Source organism: Homo sapiens, chromosome 13, assembly GCF_000001405.40.
Source record: "Homo sapiens chromosome 13, GRCh38.p14 Primary Assembly".
Taxonomy (NCBI): Eukaryota; Metazoa; Chordata; class Mammalia; order Primates; family Hominidae; genus Homo; species Homo sapiens.
The window spans coordinates 36,369,816-36,391,211 of record NC_000013.11 but is presented as its reverse complement, the minus strand read 5'-3'; the positions used below and the strand labels follow the sequence as shown (position 1 = coordinate 36,391,211).

Below are 21,396 nucleotides of genomic sequence, written 5' to 3'. Positions count from 1 at the left end.
GTGTGGTAGGCTGAATAATGGCACCCCAAAAGTGCCCACGCCCTAATCCCTGGTACCTGTAAGGAATGTTACCTTACATGTTAAAAGACTTGGTTGATGTGATTAATTAAGGATCTTGAGTTGGGGATGCTATATGGGTGGGCTCAGTGTAATCACAGGAATAACCTCGTAAGAAGGAACAATAAGAAATGTTGAGTATCAAAGCAAGAGATTGAAGTGATGGGAGGAAGTGGTGATGGGCCAAGGAATGTGGCCACCCTCTAAAGCTGGAAGAAGCAAGGAGCAGATTCTTCCCGGGGGATTCAGAAGGAACCAGCCCTATGGATGCCATGATGTTGGAGCCCTAAAAGACCTATCCTGGGATTTGGAACTCCAGAACTGTGAAGAGAATAAATGTGTGCTGTTTTAAGCTACTAAATTTGTGGTCATTTGTTATAGTGGCCAAAGGATAACTAATGTGCCCAGGAAATGCTCCTATTCAGTATTTTCATTGCCTGAGTAGGGTTGATGTGCTGCTATTGAGCACCCATAGAGCTTGTGTTATTTTCTTGCTGAGAGCTTCCAAAATCTTCACATCATGAGGTAGGTCTTATAGTGAATCCCAGGCCTTTTATAAAGATAAGGCAAGAAGTCTGCAAAAGTATATGGATTAGAAATTTTCTTTCCAAATTCATGGCTACAAAAAGAAATGTCGAGTTTTTTAGTTGCCTATATAGTCAACCTCTTTGTGCTTGGACAAATTTTTAGTTACTCCTTAACCAATTAGCATTCTTGTATTTAAGGATGGCTAGGGTTTCATTTAAAAGAAAAAAACTTTGGAGACTTCAAATGGGATGGATGCAATGGACTCTGAAACTATCTTGCTATTCTAAAATCCCGTTTCTACCAGGGACCAGGGATAGTCTTGTTTTCCACAGCTGCTTTATAGTATAAACAGCCAAAATACAACTTACGTTGTAGTTCCTAACTAATAGGCTCATTTTTTGCCTCTAATAAATCCTAATGCAATAATCATAGATTTCCTTTTTGTTGAAATCCCTATAGCCAATTTCCAATGGATACAGCTGAGACTGAAAGAAAATTGAATATTCTTCTGCAAGTAAGATTGTAAAGCTAATTTCCCTAATGCCCTATAATTCACATAAGCCAAAGTTAACAGATTATACATATTCAAATTTCAGAATTCTAGTGATTAGTTAGGTTTCCTGATAAAGCTTCATAAAGAGAAAAGAAGAGCAGTCAATTCTATTTTGGATACACAAATTGCATTACAGTTTAATAAAGATTTTTTTTTCTACAAAGTTTTATCTATGCACATTGTTTGAGGTAGACGTGGAAAACTGTATCAAAGAATCAGAGAAACTTCCTAAGAAAGAGAAGTAGGACTGTCTGGACAAATGATAGGATATGTATCCCTATAGCGTATGGCCTTGTTGGCCACCCTTGAAAAACTTGAAAATTAGAGTTTAAGAGGGCCTTGGGTCAATAATACTTCAGATAAAAAAACAAATATAAGCTTAAAGAATAGAAAGGAAAGAAAAAACCTAATAACCACCCACATTTCTTTAACCCTGTAACCCTAGTACCTAGAACAATGCTTGACACATAGTACTCAATACTTGTTAATATTGTTAATATTTGTGGAATGCATGTGTGAACCAAAAAATAAAATTCTAAGCCCCCCCAACCATCTGAATGTACCCCTCTTCTTGGGCAAAGGCATTCCAAAGTTAACCTGAAAAACTAGTTCAGACCATGATGCGGAAGGGGGTTATAACTTACTCCTCTTTGGAATTCAGGAAAAACCAATCAGCATTAACATCAACGCAGACCTTAAGCTTGATAAGAAACATTTATAATCTGTTCTCTCTGAAGCCTGCCACATGGAGGCTTCTTCCACATGATAAAACCTTGGTTTCCACAACCCCTTATCATCACTCAGACATTCCTTTCTATTGATAATAACTCTTTCAACCAATTGTTAATCAGAAAATTTTTAAATCTACCTATGACCTAGAAGCCCCCACTTCGACTACCCTTCCAGATCAAACCAATGTAAATCTTACATGTATTGATGTGGTATTATGTCTCCCCAAATGATACAAAAGCAAGCTGTACCCCAACCACTGTGGGCACATGTCATCCTGAGGCTGTGTCATGGGTATGTCCTTAACCTTGGCAAAATAAACTTTCTAATTTGATTGAGACTTATTTCAGATACTTTTGGGTTCACACGTGCATGCATAAAAGAATTTGCTAATCCCAGCACTTTGGGAGGCCAAGGCAGGTACATCACGAGGTCAGGAGATTGAGACCATCCTGGCTAACACAGTGAAACCCCATCTCTACTAAAAATACAAAAAATTAGCCGGGTATGGCAGTGGGCGCCTGTAGTCCCAGCTACTCAGGAGGCTGAGGCAGAAGAAGAATGGCGTGAACCCAGGAGGTGGAGCTTGCAGTGAGCCGAGATCGCACCACTGCACTCCAGGCTGGGCAACAGAGCGAGACTCCATCTCAAAAAAAAAAAAAAAAGAATTTGCTTCCCTGAATATTTTTCTGATAGCTGATATGTCTAAATAGCACTAGGCTTATTTGCTCTTAGTGGAATCACTATTATGCTAAATGAATATTTGAAATGTCAGGGTGTACAGGACACATTACCAAGAAAATGCATTTATTATATTAAAAGATTTTCGCCTGAAGGTAATGCCTTCTCCAGTGGAGCCGATTACAGTTTGTTGTTCTTTAGTAATGAAGAATCATATTATGGTTCAATAAGTTTTGTAACAACTAGTTATTTTTGAGGCTGCTTTGAAGACTCACTTGTATTGGAGGGAGTGGGCAGAGTACATGGACCCAACAATTTCTATCCCTGAAATAGAGACATGTCACCAAGACACAGTTATCTCCAACCAGTATACATCATGCAGTATTCTTCACCATACATGTGTTGAAATTTTTTATTAGCATTTGCTACAGATGAAGAATATGGTAAATTTATCACTTCCTCCCAAATTTAAGTATCACTTTTTTTTCACAAAAGTTGGAATCTATTGAAAAGAAGAGAATGTGATTTCAACAGTGCCCTCAGCCTGACTTCCACCGTTGTGATATGATATATGTGTGCTGGGCACCTGGGGATGGTAACAGGCAGAGAAGGTGCATCACACACGCCCTCACCCAATGCAGGTGTTGACAAACAGGGCAGCAAAGCCCCTACAGGAAGGGGACCTAAGCCAGAGGGTGAGAGTAGAGCATGCTAGACAATCCCCTCATCACAGGCAGAGGGACAGTTAGGGACATAAAAGGAGGGTGGAAGCATCAGGCAAGGGGAACTCCTGGGGAGAAAGGAGAACGCAGGTGAAGAGTGAGGGAGCCTGACTGGCCAGGTGGTTATGGGCTTGAGCATGATTCTGGCACATGCATGGTCAGGAGTGGGCATGTAGAGTTCAAGTCAGAGGCAGGGAAATTGGCAAAGAAGAAATATCAGAAAGGATATTTTAGGTGTGGAAATGGCAAGCTGGTCCACAGGCGGACATAGTCAACGTTGGTCTTGTTTTGCAAATTTTTTTTTTTTTTTTTGTGATGGAGTCTCGCTCTGTTGCCCAGGCTGGAGTGCAGTGGCATGATCTCTGCTCACTGCAAGCTCCGCCTCCCAGGTTCACGCCATTCTCCTGCCTCAGCCTCCCGAGTAGCTGGGACTACAGGCGCCCACCACCACGCCCGGCTAATTTTTGTATTTTTAGTAGAGACGGGGTTTCACCGTTGTCTCGATCTCCTGACCTCGTGATCCGCCCGCCTTGGCCTCCCAAAGTGCTGGGATTACAGGCATGAGCCACCGCGCCTGGCCTTGCAAATGTTTTTTATCATGGGAAAATACACATAACATAAAATTTATTATTTTAACTATTTTAAGTATACAATTCAGTGACATTAAGTATATTCACAGTGTTGTACACCATCCCCACTATGCATTTCCAGAATTTTTAAAAAACATTTTTTATGCTTTGTTTTTAATTGATACATAACTCTATGTATTTATGGGGTACAGTGTGACGTTCCATAACATAGATGAACCTAAAGGACATGCTAAGTGAAATATGCAAAAGCACAGAAAGACATATAGTGCATGATCTCACATGTGGAATCTAGAAAAGTTCGTATCCTAGAAGTAGAGAGTAGACTAGTGATTTCCAGAACTTTTTCATAACACACAGAAACTCTGTATTCATTAAACAGTAACTTCCCTTTTCCCCTTACCTCCAGCTCCTGGAAAGCTCTATTCTACTTTCTGTCTATGAATTTGCCGGTTATCGGTATCCCATATAAGTGGAATCACACAATATTTATCCTTTTGTAGCTGACTTATTTCACTTAGCATAATGTTTTCATATGTAGCATGAACACTGTAGCATGTATCAGACTTTCATTTCTTTTTATGGCTGGCTACTATTCCATTGGATTATATTCCAATATTTTTTATCTAATTTGTCTATTGATGGACACTTGGGTTGTTTCCATATTTTGGTTACCGTGAATAATGCTGTTATGACATTGGTGGAAAAGTATTATGCTCCTTCTTTCAATTCTTTTGTGTATTCCTAGGAGTGGAATTGCTGGATCACATGTAATTTAATTGTTTATTTAAGTTTTTAAGGAAGCACCAGACTTTTACACAGAAGCTGCAACATTTTACATTCCCACCACCAATGCACAAGTGTTCCAATTTCTCCACATCCTCACTAATATTTGTTATTTTCCCTTTTTTTTTTTTGAGACAAGAGTCTCAGTTTGTCACCCAGGCTGGAGTGCAGTGGTGTGATCTCGGCTCACTGCAACCTCCGCCTCCCAGGTTCAAGCGATTCTCGTGCTTCAGCTTCCCAAGTAGCTGGGATAACAAGTGCATGCCACCACACCTGGCTAAGTTTTCTGTATTTAGTAGAGACAGGGTTTCACCATGTTGGCCAGACTGGTCTCTAACTCCTGGCCTCAAGTGATCCACTTACCTTGGCCTCCCAAAGTGCTGGGATTACAGGTGTGAGCCACCATGCCTGCCCTCCCTATTTTTAAAACAATAGCCATTCTAATAGGTATGAAATAGTGTCTCATTGAATTTGCATATTTTGGTTTTGTAATTTTTTAGAGATAGATTTCACTGGAGGTTTGCTCTGTATCAGGTACTGTGCTAAGCACTTTATATGTTTATTACTCATTAATCCTCACAGTAAATCTATGAAATAGATCATTTTATTCTTTCTTTACAGATAAGGCTAAGAGAGGCTAGGTAACTAGTCCAAGTTCCGATGGTTAGTAGGAAAGGGAGCCAGGATTCAAATCTGGATGGATCTGCCTCCATACTTCATGCTCCCAGCTGTTGTTATGCTCCTTCCACTGCACTGACCTGAGGGGAGAGGCTGGCATGGCTTGGCTTTTATGTTCCCTCCTCATTCGGTCCAGGTGATCTCCAACTGGCTAGTGTCTGCCACTTTCCAGATTGAGGTGGGATTCATCAGCCACTTATGACTAGTGACTATGACTCATACCAAGTTCAAGTGGAGGCTCTGATTTTTCTAACATAAATCAAAAACATATACAAATGCACTGCCTTGTGGAAAATGTTGACCAATATTCTTTGGTTCATAAGTAGTAACTAATCTACTAATGCAATTCAGAAGTCATAAGTCAACCCATCTTAAACCCAAAGAGGGAAGTCCTTCAAAGGTTTCTGAGCAGTTATAAAGCTAAAAGTTGAGAAATGGGCTACAAATATTTCTGCATTACTTAATAATATTTTTATAATTATTTTCCTTTTTACAAAATAATTTAATCAGACTATTTACAATGAATTACACTAGGCAAGAGGTTTTTTTTAAGTTTGAGAAGCCACAAGATATCAATACCATTCCCTACTTTTAAAGGACCTTGTATATTTTGGTAAGATTACATGAACTGCTGACCTTTAGTCAATTTTGTATGATCATGGAAACACACAGTATCATTTCTACTACCAATTTAAAAAACTATCTTTTATGTGTGGGCAAAATGAAAAGTCAGTCTACATACCCTTTATGTAACTGTTATATAAGTAACTCTGTAATTAAGAAAAAAATTCCCAAAGTCCTTATCCCATCATTTATAGTGAGAAAGACAGATTGGTGAAAGCATCCAGGTGCTGGAGGTTTAGACTACAAATTAGAGTTCACATTTGTACCCACTACGTCTTTTAGTTGGGGTTGTAAATTAACATCTATAACATCTATTTTATACTATTCCTCTCTACAATAAATAATCCACTGTTCATTATAACTATCATCTGCTACAATGTCCTGTGTGTATTTTGGCTTACATCAATACAGTTCTTTCATACCTTTCTCCTGATCAGTCTGCCCCTTGTCTGCATATACTTGTACCTTTTTTAAAAAGTTCTTTCTAATTTTATTTTTTCATTTATTCCCTGACATATTGTATTGAGCTTTAAAAGAAGGGATGGCACAGAGGGAGACATAGTGTTCTTAAGAAGGATCACAATGCAGACAGTAAGTTGGTGGAGTCACTACAACCCCATATTTCTTTCTTAGCTCTGTAGACTGAAGAATTCAGTTTTTTAGCCTTCTAGAATTTACAGACCAGGTCAGGAATTGCTTCATATAAGATTTCGTACAAACTCATATAAGACTAATTTAAAACCCAAAATTTGATTATTTCTGATTTAAATATTGGCAGGGAATATTACGAATGTTAAGCAAGTTGAAAGCATCAGCTAAGCTGGCATGTATGCTTTCCCCAGCAACTATGCCAGATACAAACCCATGTAGTGCATTGTAGCTCAAAGACACTAGCCAGAAGGATTCTTTACTGAGAATGTTCCCTTCTGGACAGTAATACAGAGGTAGCAAATTTTGCCTTACTCCCAACTCCATTTTGAGGTTCCATGCAGACTGCTGTCCACTGATGGAATAAAACAAAGTTCTTACCGATTTCTTTATATTTTCAATCCGAGGTATTCAACCTAGTTAACTCTACTGAACATTGGCAGTTCCCCAGTCTTCATGATCAGTAAATGTACTATTGGTGAGGCATGGTGGCTCATGTCTGCAATCCCACACTTTGGGGGGCCAAAGTGGGAGGTTCATTTGAGGCCAGGAGTTCAAGACCAACCTGGGCAACATAGCAAGACCTTGGCTCTATATTAAATTATTTTTTTAAAAAATGAAGTGCTAAGGGAGACCCCATCGCCACAAAAAATTTTAAAAATTAGCCAGGCATGGTGGTGCACGCTTATAGTCTAAGTTACTAGAGAAGCCAAGGTGGGAAGATTGCTTGAGCCCAGGAGGTCCAGGCTGCAGTAAGTTATGATTACACCGCTGCACTCCAGCCTGGGTGACAGAGTGAGACACTGTCTCAAAAAATAAATAAATAAGGTTACTATTTTTTAGGGCAGCTATGGTAGATGCTGCTATTGGCTGCCCACCATCCAGTTTCGCTAGGACCTCCTCCCCATTAGATAGGTAATCAAGGGCTCCACCCTCCCCTCGCCAAGCAGTTCACCAAGCAGATGCTCTTTTCTAAGAATCTGACTCTTGAGCAGAGGGAGACTGAAAAATGTCAGAGTTTCATTCTATTCCACACGAACTGGTCTATCCCTGCTATGACGTGATTGTGTTTCCAGCTTCCTTGCCTCTGGAATGACCTTGGTCCTTGCCCATCCCTAAGCCCAATGTCATAGTCACTAATTGATGCTGACAGCCTCCAACATCATTCTCCCGAACAATTTTTCTAAAGTTAAAGTCAGTTTCTGTTTCTTGCAACCAAAAAACCATAAATGGTAGAGTGAATTGTTTCTTCAAATGGCTTACCTCATCTCTGTTGTGTTAGTTTTTACCAGTTTTACCTTTTAGAGACTCTCTGGAGAAAACTTAGGGTAAACAAATCCATCTTAACTGTGTGGAATGTGTACACTGGATATAATAATGTCTGCACCTGAAACTCAGTGGTCCATGAGTGACTACACCAATCTCTAGCTAACAGCTCTGTATCATCAGAGAAAATCCTGCTGCTGCTAGGAATGATATCTAAATAGATGCTATCTATACTAGAAAGTCTCCCTTTTGAACAACACTGTTTCTTAAAGGAAAAAAGTAAAGATCACTCAAAAAAGAGAAAGTTTAAAAGATGCTGTTTATAAAATGTAGTATAGCCTTACATCATTTTCCATGTCTTTCTTACTTACATTTATGAGTGTTTTTTGTTTGTTTTGTTTTTGACATAGTCTCACGCTGTCATCCAGACTGGAGTACAGTGGCACAATCTCGGCTTACAGCAACCTCTGCCTCCCGGGTTCAAGTGATTCTCCTGCCTCAGCCTCCCAAGTAGCTGGGACTACAGGTGTCCACCCCTCATACCCACCTAATTGTTGTATTTTTAGTAGAGACAAGGTTTCGCCATATTGGCCAGGGTGGTCTCAAACTCCCAACCTCAGGTGATCCACCTGCCTCGGCTTCCCAAAGTGCTGGGATTACAGGCATGAGCCACCATGCCTGGCCCTTCCCAGTGTTTTAATAGAACATAACACATTGAGAATGCAAGAAAAATTTTTGCTTCAGGTATAATTAAAGACGAAAAAATCATTTTTCTTAAAGACTGAATTAGATGCTCTCAAAATGGGTTTATTTGAGGAGCTGGCCCCTCTTATGTTGGCATAAATAAGTGGAGAATTGTTTGACTGAACTAAAAACTGAATACTTGAACTTGACCATCAGAGCTTGTGAACAGTTAAAAGATAACATTTGGGTCTGAACATTTGTGCTAACTTCAGGTCTATACCAGAGAGCAGAATGGTTTCGTTGCAATCCACTCATGTCTGAAAGATTTTATTTAACCTTAGGAAAAATTATTTCACCCAAGAATGCACTACCTAAGAAGGCAGTGATCTGTGCTTGTGCTTGATACACCTGTCATCTGGATAATGATTCAAACAGGAAAAGCAGAGTGAATGAGTGATGAGTCAGTGGTATTGAAGCATGCTAACTATGAAAGTGATCAAAGCAATTTTTCACTGGGTGATAATAAGTAACAAATACTTTTGAGGACTATATAGAATGCTTCATTTTATTTCCTTTTTGTATCTTAAAAAAGAAATGCTGGCCCGGCGTGGTGGCTCACACCTATAATCCCAGCACTTTGAGAGGCTGAGGCTGGCAGATCATGAGGTCAAGAGATGGAGACCATCCTGGCCAACATGATGAAACCCTGTCTCTACTAAAAACACAAAAATTAGCTGGCTGTGGTGGTGTGCATCTGTAGCCCCAGCTGCTCAGGAGGCTGAGGCAGGAGAATCGCTTGAACCCAGGAGGTGGAGGTTGCAGTGAGCCAAGTTCGCACCACTGCACTCCAACCTGGGTGACAGAGCAAGACTCCATCTCAAAAAAAAAAAAAAAAAGTAAAGAAAGGAAGAAGTGCTATTAAAAGTTAAGAGCATTTGTGACCCATATCTAAATTTCAGTTATATTTCAAGGATGTATACATTTAAATAATAATTAGGAGCTTGGTCCTCTAATCTGATGAGTTAAGAAGTTGAACTTATTATTATTCTTCGGGCTCACAAGTGGCTGAGGAATCCTGGACTGGACTGAAGTGGACAAATTCAGTCATCCAACAAATCTCTAAGACATATGTCTTAGAGGCAAGAAACACTGGGAATGTACACAAAAAGCGAAGTGGCTGCTCTCATGTGGAGTGTCTATTTCATTAGGAAAATATAAAATTGATTTTAAAAAGTCAAAAATGAGATTTAATACACTTCATATAAAGAAAAAATAGAGTAGTATGAAAAGAGAGTGAGAGGTAAGTACTGTGGATTGGGTGGTAAGTAAGGAAGGGTCCTATAAGGATGTGACATTTAGGTTGAGTGACAAAGAGTAGCCAGCCATAAAAGGATCAGGAGCAACAGCTTTCCAGGAAGAGGAAGAGTTAGTACAAAAGCCCTAAGAAATGAAGTGACAAGTTCAAGAAACAAACAAACAAACAAACAAAAAGACAGCTTGTCTATGTCATAGTAAGCAAGAGGGAAATGGCTTAAGATGAAATCAGTAAACTAGACAGAAGCCGGTCATGGAAGCTTTGTAAGTTCTGCTGAAGAATTCAGATTTTACTCTGAATACAACAGGAAGCTAGTTGAAGATTTTAAGCAAGGAATGGGCTTGATCTGATTTATAATATTGGGGTTTTTTGTTTGTCTGTTTGTTTTTTGAGACAGAGTCTTGCTCTGTTGCCCAGGCTGGAGTGCAGTGGCACAACCTTGGCTCACTGTAACCTCCGCCTCCTCGGTTCCAGTGATTCACCTGCCTCAGTCTCCCGAGTAGTTGGGATTACAGGTGCACACCACAACACCCTGCTAACTTTTGTATCTTTAGTAGAGATGGGGTTTCACCATGTTGGCCAGGCTGGTCTCGAACTCCTGACCTCAAGTGATGCACCCATCAGCCTCCCAAAGTGCTGGGATTACAAGTGTGAGTCACCACACTCCAACCCTATAATGCATTTTAAGAAGATCAATTGAGACGCTTTGGAGAAGGTAAGAGGCATGAATAGAAGCGAGGATCTCCATGTGAAGACCAGTGTAGTAGTCTAGGAAAGACATGTGATGACTTAGGCGAGGTTGGAACAGTACTGACAGCGGGGAAGGGAGAGAGCCAAGACATGTTTAGAGGCAGCAGCAACAGAATCTGCTGGTGAATTAAATGTAGGATATAGGGGAAAGAGAGGAGTCAGTGATGACTTCTAGATTTTTGGCTTGAGTAGCTGGGTGGTATCATTCACTGAGATGGGGATGAGTGAAGGAGAAGTGAGTTTGGCAGTAGACATCAACAGTTCCATTAAATCCCATCACAGTCATGTTGTGATAGTGCGACGCCATGTAGACACAACTGCCAGGCAGCAGAATATATGAGCTTGGAGGTCTGTTCATCAGCATGGGTGGTATGTAAAGCCATAGGTCTTAGTGAGGTTGCTTCAAGACCATGTGTTGCTAGAGAAGAGAATAGCGCCCAGGGAAGAGCCCTGGAGCACCACTGTATTTGTAAATTGAGTAGTGATGAAAACATCGACAAAAAAAACTGAGAAAGCAGAGAGAGGAGGAAGGTGATGCGACTGCTGCCATGGAAATGAAGGAATGAAAGTGTTTTAAAGAGAGAGTGATGGATTGTGTCAATTTTGCTAAAGAGTTGAGCTAGATAAGCAAAATAACTGGTTATATTAGTGATGAGACCACTAATAGGGGCTCTGATGTCTAGGAGGATTCTGGATGGAGTTTAATTTCATGTGGTACTGCTTTTAATTTCAGTGAAAAATTCCTGAGATTCTACTGGTTGCCAGTTACTAGGCCAAGGGAGGGGCATAGAGATTAAAAAGTCTAGGAGCTTAGATTGGAAAAGGAAGACATGGGAACAAATAGCTGCAATTCAGTATAATAAAAACATATTCAAGATGGTGTGAGAAAGGCAAAATGATTAGATGTATGCAGTCCTGACACAGCTCCTTGTTTTAGTGGGCCTAGAAATACCAGTCAGAGCACATTGAGCCATAGTAAGCACTGAATAAATGCCAGCCATGGAACGGGAACTGAGAAGACGGACAAAATCTGTCTGGAAGAATTGAGTGAGGTGTCACAGAGAAGGTGACATTTCCAAACTGGGTCCTGAAAGAGCAGTGTTGAATCTATCCGGCTTATAAGAGGGATACAGAAATTCCAGACTAAAGAAAGAGAAGGAGCAAGAGTAAAGAGAGTTGGAAATGCATGACCTACATAGGGAAGTGCATTCAGTTCCGTGTGGCTAGTCAGTGGGTGCAGGGAATGTAGTGCACTGAAACAAGCTTGGCTGGGACTAGATGCAAAGAGCCTTGTAGGACATGTTAAGCGATTTGGACTTTGATCTTTAGGCAGTGAGAATTCAAAGAAGGTTCTTAGGCAGAGGCACAGAATAATTAGAAATGGGTTTTAGGAAGATGGCTATTGACAATCTGAAACATAGGATGAAAGAAGTGAAGCCAAGAGGATTTTCTTTCGATGTCAGCATGTTAGAGCCTAAAGAACATTGGTGTTTATTTCTAAGTAAGAAATACATAGAAAATAGGATGCCAGGCGCTGTGACTCATGCCTATAATCCCAGCACTTTGGGAGGACAAGGTGGGCAGATCACTTGAGGTCAGGAGTTTGAAATCAACCTGGCCAACATGGTGAAACCCCATCTCCACTAAAAATACAAAAATTAGCCAGGCATGGTGGTGGGCACCTGTAATCCCAGCTACTTGGGAGGCTGACACAGGAGAATCGCTTGAACCCAGGAGGCAGAGGTTGCAGTGAGCAAAGATCGCACCACTGCACTCCAGCCTGGCGACAGAGGAAGACTCCGTAGAAAAGAAAAGAAAAGAAAAGAAAAGAAAAGAAAAGAAAAGAAAAGAAAAGAAAAGAAAAATATAGAATATATAGATATAAGGTAAGGCTTAAAAAGTTTAACACTTTGGAAATCTCAGGAAAGTTTGACTTTGGTGATTCCCAGGAGGTCTAGACAAAGAGTCGGGAGGCTGCTGGAATGGTGATGGGTACCTGAAAATGAGTGTAGCAGTAGAGGAAAGAAAGGGGTGGAGTCTATAGACACAGACATAGGGGTGAGAGGAAGAGCTGAAGAACACCCTGAGTGTCCTTAGTCTTCAGTTGACCCCCAAAATGAGGCCAGGACAGTCTTGGGGTGGAAAAATAACTGAATATCTGTAGTTGACAAAGTAAAAAAGATTTCTATGCACATTACTTCCGATAATCTTTATAGCACCTTGCAACATAGCCACTATTATTATTACATTCCATATGAGACTCAGAATGATTAAGAGAATTGCACAAGATCCTGATAAGATAAGCTAATGAATTCCAGATGGGAGTTCTATTCTATTTCTCCAGAAACCCAGAGAAGAGCTCTTTCTAGGCCACAGCAGCCTATCAGGAAGCAGGAGAGTATAAAGAGAAAAATATGGTTTGCATTACCCTCCAGCTTTATATGAGTTCAGTGTCACCCAATTTAAATTCCATATGTATATTCCAGTATACTGGACTATAAACCAGTGTTCTTCATTAAGAAAAATATCTCTAAGGTATTATCTGGGCTACAGTATAGACCCAGGACCATGACACAGACTCTGTATGTAGGTCAGACACATGAAATGAAGCAGAAGGTATAAGCAATGGAATGGGAGGGTGAAATTGTTGGCTCTTTGTTGTTAGGTACCTTTTTAAATACAATGAGCATAAAAATGCAATAGAAATACACAGAGGGTGGCACAGATAAAATGATTTTGCTTGTGAAATACCTTCTCAAATCACAGCTATCAACTACAACCCCTCACTGGTACACAGAAAGTCTTGCCTTCTAGGAGCTCAGAGAATGAAACAAAGCTTGATACTTAGAGCAAAGTGAGGCATCTTATGATGAATTATAAAAGACAAAATGAAATTTATAATAAATTTGCTTGCTGGGCACAGTGGCTCATGCCTGTAATCCCAACACTGGGAAGCCAAGGTGGGCGGATCACTTAAGCCCAGGAGTTCGAGGTCAGCCTGGGTAACATGTTGAAACCCCATCTCTATGAAAAAAATACAAAACTTAGCTGGGTGTGGTGGCACACGCCTGCAGTCCCAGCTACTCAGGAGGCTGAGGTGAGAGGATTGCTTGAGCCTGGGAGGTGTAAGCGGCAGTGAGCTGGGATCATGCCTCTGCACTCCAGCCCAGTGATAGAGCGGGAGCCTCAAAAAATAAATAAAATAAAATAAGATAAAATAAATCTGTTAAAGAGAATGGTAGAGCTGTTGAACACTGAACTTTCACACCTGTTTTCTATAAGAGAAAACCCACAGATACCTTCAGGACAAAGAAGTCCTTCTTCAGAGAAAACGCATGAACTAACATATAACTACAGAAAACTATCTTCTATAGGCATAGTAAGGTCTCCTTTCCAAAATTCACTCTTTCATGAGAGTCATAAACACCAGAAGTGTTATTTTAATGATATAAAATGAAGAACATTTTCCTCTGAGGATACAGCCCCTCAGGAAGGCAGTCTTTCCCCCAGCATAAAGGTGACCTTGAGTCACACAATGAGGTCGGCTTTCAGTGTCTCTTACCTGTCTTCTCAACAATTCCTCAAATTCTCTTTCGCTTACAGTCTCCATTTCCTTTAGAGAGCAAGGCTTAGAGATCTGACACAAATCTCCCCAAGAGAAGCCACTCTTGAAATGACACCAGTCTTTTATACTTTAATGACTACTAAAGGCTTCAGGTGGAGCAAGGAAGGGGAGAGTAAGAAATGCTCTGTGTTGCCCGGGCGCAGTGGTTCACGCCTATAATCCCAGCACTTTGGGAGGCCAAGGAGGGCTCATCACCTGAGGTAGGGAGTTCAAGCCCAGCCTGACCAACATGGAGAAACCCCGTCTGTCCTTAAAAAAAAAAAAAAATAGCCGGGCGTGGTGGCATATGCCTGTAATCCCAGCTACTCGGGAGGCTGAGGCAGGAGAATCACTTGAACCCAGGAGGCAAAGGTTGCGGCGAGCCGAGATCACACCATAACACTCCAGCCTGGGCAACAAGAGTGAAATTCCGTCTCAAAAAAAAAAAAAGAAAGAAAGAAAGAAAGAAATGCTCAGTGTCTGCTGGTAGAGGAATGAGCCTAAACATTCTCGGCATCAGACTGCTAATTTACCACTTTGTCTTTGATTTAAACAAGACCACGGTACCCCACGCAGGGCAGGAGAGCAGGCCTTTAGGTTGATTTTGTTTCAGGCTGTTCCACTGTCAAGTACAGTACTATTTTGATAAAAATAGGATAAGAAGGTGAAGAATATGAACTGTCTCAATCTAGCAATTAATGAGAGTTTAGTTTTCTCCAGTTTGAACTTGGGTTTGTGAAGCTTGCAGTCAGTAGATCAGTACCACCCAAGACTGACAATCTTTCTTTCAAAGACAAACAACAGTCATTTAAAATGTAAATAACTTTAGCAAAAAATAGAACTCTTCTTCTTCGACTTACTAGACGTAATTTGCATATTTATGACTTTTCTGATTTTTAACTCTGTATATGCCTACTTTTAAATGGTTATAATTATATATACTAAACTTCATTTAATTTTTAATCAATCATTATCTTGTATGCTTCTTTAGATAAAATATACAGCTTCCTTATTATTTTAAATGAAATGATTGCATAAAAGTCTATGAAGTTACTGGATAATAATTGAGTTAATCATCTTTATATTTTTATACTTTGGAGCTTTTAGCTTTGGAGCTTTTATCAGTAAAAATGATGTATCGGGCCGGATGTGCTGGCTCACACCTGTAATCCCAACACTTTGGGAGGACAATGTGGGCAGATCACTTGAGCCCAGGAATTTGAGACCAGCCTGGGCAACATGGCAAAACCCATCTCTACCGAAAAATAAAAAAAAAAAATTAGCTGGGTGTGGTGGCACACGCCTGCAATCCCAGCTACTCTGCAGGCTGAGGTGAGAGGATTGCTTGAGCGATCTGGGAGGCAGAGATTGCAGTGAGCCAAGATCATGCCATTGCATTCTGGCCTGGGCAACAGGAGTGAAACCCTGTCTCAAAAAAAAAAAAAAAAAAAGAAAAGAAAATGTATAGAAACTATTTGTTTCCCTTTGAATTAATTATTTAAAATAACAGTCATGGTGACTGACTAGTGGCAGATGTAAAGGCTTTGGAGGAAGAAAGATTTGAGTTCAGATCCTGACTTTGCCACTTTGAGGCAATGGGCCCATGAGAATACATCCCCTCGGAAGCTCAGATGCCTCTTCTTTAGAATGGGGCTAACAAGTCTTAAATGAGAAAATACAAACAGATCCTCTAATATGTGGTTGCATTGTGGCCATGGCATAATGAAGGGCAGCTATTTTGCTGCAGCAAGAACTATTAAGTAGGATGTTCAGATCCTTCCCTGATCCTCTCCTTCCAAAACACAATGCAGTACTCCAATAAGCACCATGCCTACTCAGTTGTCCCTGTGTCTCTCCCTCTTAACGAGGACATTTTTTGATTGCTTGCATAGAAACCAAGGTATCTGCCACAGAAAGAGCAGGAAAGAAGAGAGCAAGTTCCACATAAGGTAGGGCCTCATGGGACAGTTTTAGTGTTGACATATGAGAGAAGTTCTGGAGCATACAAGAAAACTGGAGCGTGAGAGAGGGGTTTTTAAAAGATTTTGCCCCAGGGTCGGAATCATATCCCTCTAACGTTCTTCATCAACTAAAAATAAAGAATGTAGTCACTTCTTAAAATTTCTGTGGCTGCTGAATTCTGCCGCTGGAACATGACTTTGCTCTGAAAATAAGCAGGTGATCCCTAGATGTATAAGAGTTGCATTATCATGATCATTGTTATTATTATCAGTATTTATTCATATATTTGGAGCCCAGCACCTGAGCCCAGGAGGTTTGATGCTACAGGATGAAGGGGTAAAATCATCTTCATGGCTAATAACATTTTATTATTTAGAAAAACTGCTCTGGTTTACATGGCCTGGCACCTTTCAAAAGAGTTAAGTTCCTTCCCTGGTCTTAAGTGCCAGGGTCTCCAGCTGGATGAAGTGTGTTGGTCATTAGGCATCCTCTCTCTGGAAAACTTAGTATGTGTCTGAACTTAATGGTGGTGGGGCTCACTCAATCTCTGGGGAGAGAGGGTACTTCTGGAGAATCCTATTATCTCATAAGCAGTAAAAGCAAGAAAGGACTTGACAGCTATTCTCTCCCTAGGCTACCTCCCTTGCCCTCTCTGGGGGTATATCATACCATAAGGGGTCAATCCTTAATGTTAGTTGTCTCAGCAATTCCATGGTAAGTGTACACAATTACATCACAAATTGCAAAAAGTTTAATCTAGATTTACCCAACAGATAAGAACAGCTATCTTTTTATTTACCAAACAGATAAGAACAGTTACCAAACAGATAAGAACAGTTATCCATTCAAAGCAGTTTCAGCTTTGAATGGATCCAATTCTTAGTAGCTTCCCAGAGGAGTTGTATTTTTCAACAGCTTTAACTGTTTAAAAGCTGTTATCCGCTGGGCACGGTGGCTCATGCCTGTAATCCCAGTACTTTGGGAGACCAAGGTGGGCAGATCACGAGGTCAAGAGATGGAGACCATCCTGGCCAACATGGCAAAACCCCATCTCTACTGAAAATACAAAAATTAGCTGAGCATGGTGGCGCATGCCTGTAGTCCCAGCTACTTGGGAGGCTGAGGCAGGAGAATCACTTGAACCCGGGAGGCAGAGGTTGCAGTGAGCCATGATCGCACCGCTGCACTCCAGCCTAGTGACAGAGCGAGACTTCATAAAAAAGAAAAGCTGTTATCTTCTTGACTACCCATCAAAAAGCTAAAAAAGATCAAACAATCAAATCTCTGTATTAGCTCAAGGTTACAACTATGTGAAAAGCTAAATTTAGAATAAAAACAAAACCAAGAAACAGATCAGTTCACAAAAGCCACATACTGTCATCAGCTCCATAAATAAATAATATCCCTGGCCAGAGTAAATAATTAGGAAGTATCTATCTTTGCATTATAAATGGCAATAGAAATAAATCAGATATTCACACATACAAAAGGAATGGCCACTCCCATGCCTCCATCTAATTAAAAAATTAAACATGGCCAGGCACGGTGGCTCACACCTGTAATCCTAGCACTTTGGGAGGCTGAGGTGGGTGGATCACTTGAGCCAAGGCAACATGGCAAAATCCCATCTCTACAAAAAATACAAAAATTAGCTGGGTGTGGTGGTGAGCACTGTAGTTCTAGCTACTCAGGAGGCTGAGATGGGAGCTCAGGAGGTCACTGCTGTGGTGAGCCCAGTACCTGAGCTCAGGAGGTCAATGCTGTGGTGAGTTCCCACTACATTTCAGCCTGGGTGACAGAGTAAGATCCTGTCTTAAAAAATAAAGAAACAAATAAATAAGTAAATAATAAAACATAAGAAATCTACAAAAATTCTTATTCTGGTCTCCACCAATCTATACTAATAGAAGTCGCAGAGTAACACCATAACTCCTGCCCACAGTCATAATTCACAACACAGCTTCTACACAAGGCAATGTGTCAAATAAGTTTTGTGGGACAGTAGAATCTCTTTAGTAAGTGTATTAGTTTATTTTCACGCTGCTGATAAAGACATACCCAAGACTGGGTAATTTATACAGGAAAAAGGGTTTAATGTACTTACAGTTCCATGTGGTTGGGGAGGCCTCACAATCATGGTGGAAGGCAAGGAGGAGCAAGTCACATCTTACATGGATGGCAGCAGGCAAAAAGAGAGAGTTTGTGCAGGGAAACTCCCCCTTATGAAACCATCAGATCTCGTGAGACTTATTCACTATCATGAGAACAGCATGGGAAAGACCTGCCCCCATGATTCAATTACCTTGCATCAGGTGCCTCCCACAACATGTGGGAATTTAAGACGAGATTTGGGTGGGGACACAGCCAAACCATATCAGTAAGATATTATAGATATGTATAGAAATCTGAAGTGTTAAAGATGTCATTAAGTAAGTAGCTTTTTAAAAAAATTATTTGACATAGGCCATTTTAAAGGGAGGCTTGAAGTTCTATCTAGGCTAGTGAGACCTGAAGCTCAGTCATCTTCACTCCAGATACACACACATACACATACATGCAGAAACATACCACATGCTACAAACATATGTGCAACTAAAAAATAAGTCATAGATAACTGTGAATGGGAAAGAAATGCCTAATGCCTGTGAGGGCGAAGAGTAGGCTAAACTTGGTAGGGCTGAGATAGGTGGCTGGATTCGGCAAGTAGTTTGCAAGTGAAACTTAAATCTTTTTGACACCAGAGGTGAAATTACCCAGGCCCATCAATCACCAGCAACAGCAGCAGCCCTCTGCTTCAGGGCTCCTGATTCGTTTTTCTTCCTGCCAAATGACAAGACCCTCTGTGTGGGCAGAAAGGGAGGTAGGAAGGAGCAGGCAGGTAGCAGAAGGCAGTGTTGAAGTACAGATCTTGTTTCCTCACCTTGGAGAAGACTGCTAATAAGCCCTCATAATTGTTAGTTAGTTTTAATGTTGGTACTCTAACAGAGATTAAGTCATGTAAGTATCTTTTAAAAATCAGTTACCATTTTTATTTCATACAAATAACCACTCCTTCCTCTTTATGTGCCATACCATACACTTCCCAGAATAATTTATTCTGTAGATCTCTCCCAGAAGACAAGAACCTGAGAATACACTGATTGTCAAGGAGGATTTATTGAAAAGCATTTTCTATAGTTAGTATAAAGTTGTTCTATGTTAACAAGAACTGTCTACCCAAATATCACGAAATAAATCTGTTTACAGAATCCTTTCTTCTACAATCTCATGCTTACATCCTGCTTAAGGGAAAGATGGAAACTTGGTACAACTATTTATACTGCATCTCTATTGGCATTAGCTAAATGCACTGCAAAGGCTCCACCTTGTTACCCTGACTTGAGTGGCCTTTCATTGTGTGTGTGTGTGTGTGTGTGTTTGTGTGTGTGTGTGTGTGTGTGTGTGTGTGTGTATGTGTGTGTGTTCTGGGCATGCAGGATTTCTGGCAAAGAGTTTTGAACTACAATGGCTGGAGGATTAAATGGGAAAGTGTGCTGGTGGGAGATCTTAATCTGCCACAAAAATGACACTAAACAGAGGGAGAATGTCACGCTAGATGTTAAAATGCAAGTTTTACAGCGGCTTGAGATCCTTTCAACGAAATAGTCAAGGAAACCAAGAAATCAGTAGGCAATCAATTAGGAATAGATGGAAAGTGCTTTGACATAAAGAAAACCACCACTGCCACCTCAACTTGGTGACAGCTGACAAACAGTAAAGGGAAGAAATGATGGCCTGAGGCACATCATGACTTTAAGGGATTAGACGAGAACATACATTGGAGATATGTGTACTGTACATATATATATACAGAACATACATACATAGAGAAGGTACACACAGAACACACACTGGAGTCTCCTTGGAAGCTGTGCTATAAAGCAGTGGTTTTCAAAGTGTGGTCCCAGACCAACAACATCCGTATTACTTGGAACCTGTAAGAAATGTTAATTTTGGGACTCCACCTTACCTAGCAAATTAAAAATTCTGGGTTGATGTCCAGCAACATGCATTTTAACAAATCTTTCAGGTGATTCTAATGCCTGCTAAAGTTTGAGAACCACTGGAATTATGTTTCAGTTAGGCTTTCATTTCTAGCTGCTTTATCTACATGCAGGGTGTGTGTGTATGTGTGTGTGTGTGTGTGTGTGTTATATGTCTGAAATTTTTAAAAAGGATATTAATCTTTAAATTTTTGCTTGCTTTAATCCAGTGGTGTTAATAGAAGAAATAAGAAACACAAAAATGGGGTCAAAAAGAAGAAATAAGTAAGCTAAAATGATAGGAAAAGGCCAACAGAAAAATAAACAAATAATTTTTTATTTTCTCTTTCATATAGTCAAGTGTGAGCCCCTTGAATTTCTACTGATGTAAAAATCGTATTTGTTTTCATCTGGAAGGAGCCTTCGGAACCTCTGCTGCCACCTTCTCATCTTACAGATGAAGACCTGATGGGGTAAGGTTTTACTGACCTGCCAGGTTAGACGGCAAGTTCGTGACCCTGGGTCTGAGGAAGAGAGATCGCAGGTAAAAGTTTAAATTGAGTAGATATTCTTGGTTTGTGAGAAAAATAAAGTGCTTATCCACATTTTTTGAAGTTATGTGAATCATTTAAATTGTCTTCCCCATCTCCTGGCTCCTGCCAGAGACTGGTGCTAAGACACGCGTGGTTGGAGGAACACACGCTCTCTCGGGAGGTGACGGCCCAGCAGATGGATCAGCACCACAGACCCTGGCCCCAGCTGCAAGGCTGCCTTTGCCAGGAGAATGAAAGAGTCTTTTCACTCTTGTTTCCTCTCTCCCCATGCCAGGCTCAGCACCAGTACCAGCCCCCACCTTCCGTCTGTGCATGTTTTCTTCAGTCCTGGAAGGAAATCATAAGTGATTTGCCCCAAAAGGATTGCTGTTGAGTGAGTAAAGAGATAAACTTTATTATCATTATTAATCACTACTGTTTTATTTATGCTCTATAATAACCCTCCTTCTTTCAGAAGGTATTGGGCGGGGCCGGAGGAGCTTTATTTTTAAGGGCTGGTTATCTGTCCCATCCCTGACCAGGCCACAACATCGTCAAAGTTCTATTGTGTATTTTAAACTTAACAGAAAGTTCAATTCAACAGAAAGCCAAAGGTATGAAGAGCCAGGCCTGCGATCTCCATGGCTTTACTCTTCCTACAGTGTGG

The 21,396-nt window shown here is 40.6% G+C and overlaps 1 protein-coding gene across 1 annotated transcript in view, besides 1 other annotated feature; it reads left to right on the top strand.

Moving 5' to 3' along the window:
* Positions 2,284-2,467: a silencer, noted in NCBI's record as "fragment chr13:36962882-36963065 (GRCh37/hg19 assembly coordinates)". NCBI's record gives its function as "represses an EF-1alpha promoter that drives an FKBP-Casp9 reporter gene in an ReSE screen in K562 erythroleukemia cells {active_cell/tissue: K562}" and the evidence as "EXISTENCE:reporter gene assay evidence [ECO:0000049][PMID:32094911]".
* SPART (spartin) overlaps positions 21,032-21,396 on the top strand; it is a 68,543-nt gene continuing 68,178 nt past the window's right edge. The window contains exon 1 of the mRNA NM_001142294.2: positions 21,032-21,123. The gene's annotated coding sequence lies outside the window, so the exon portion shown is untranslated. The remainder of the gene's footprint in view (positions 21,124-21,396) is intronic.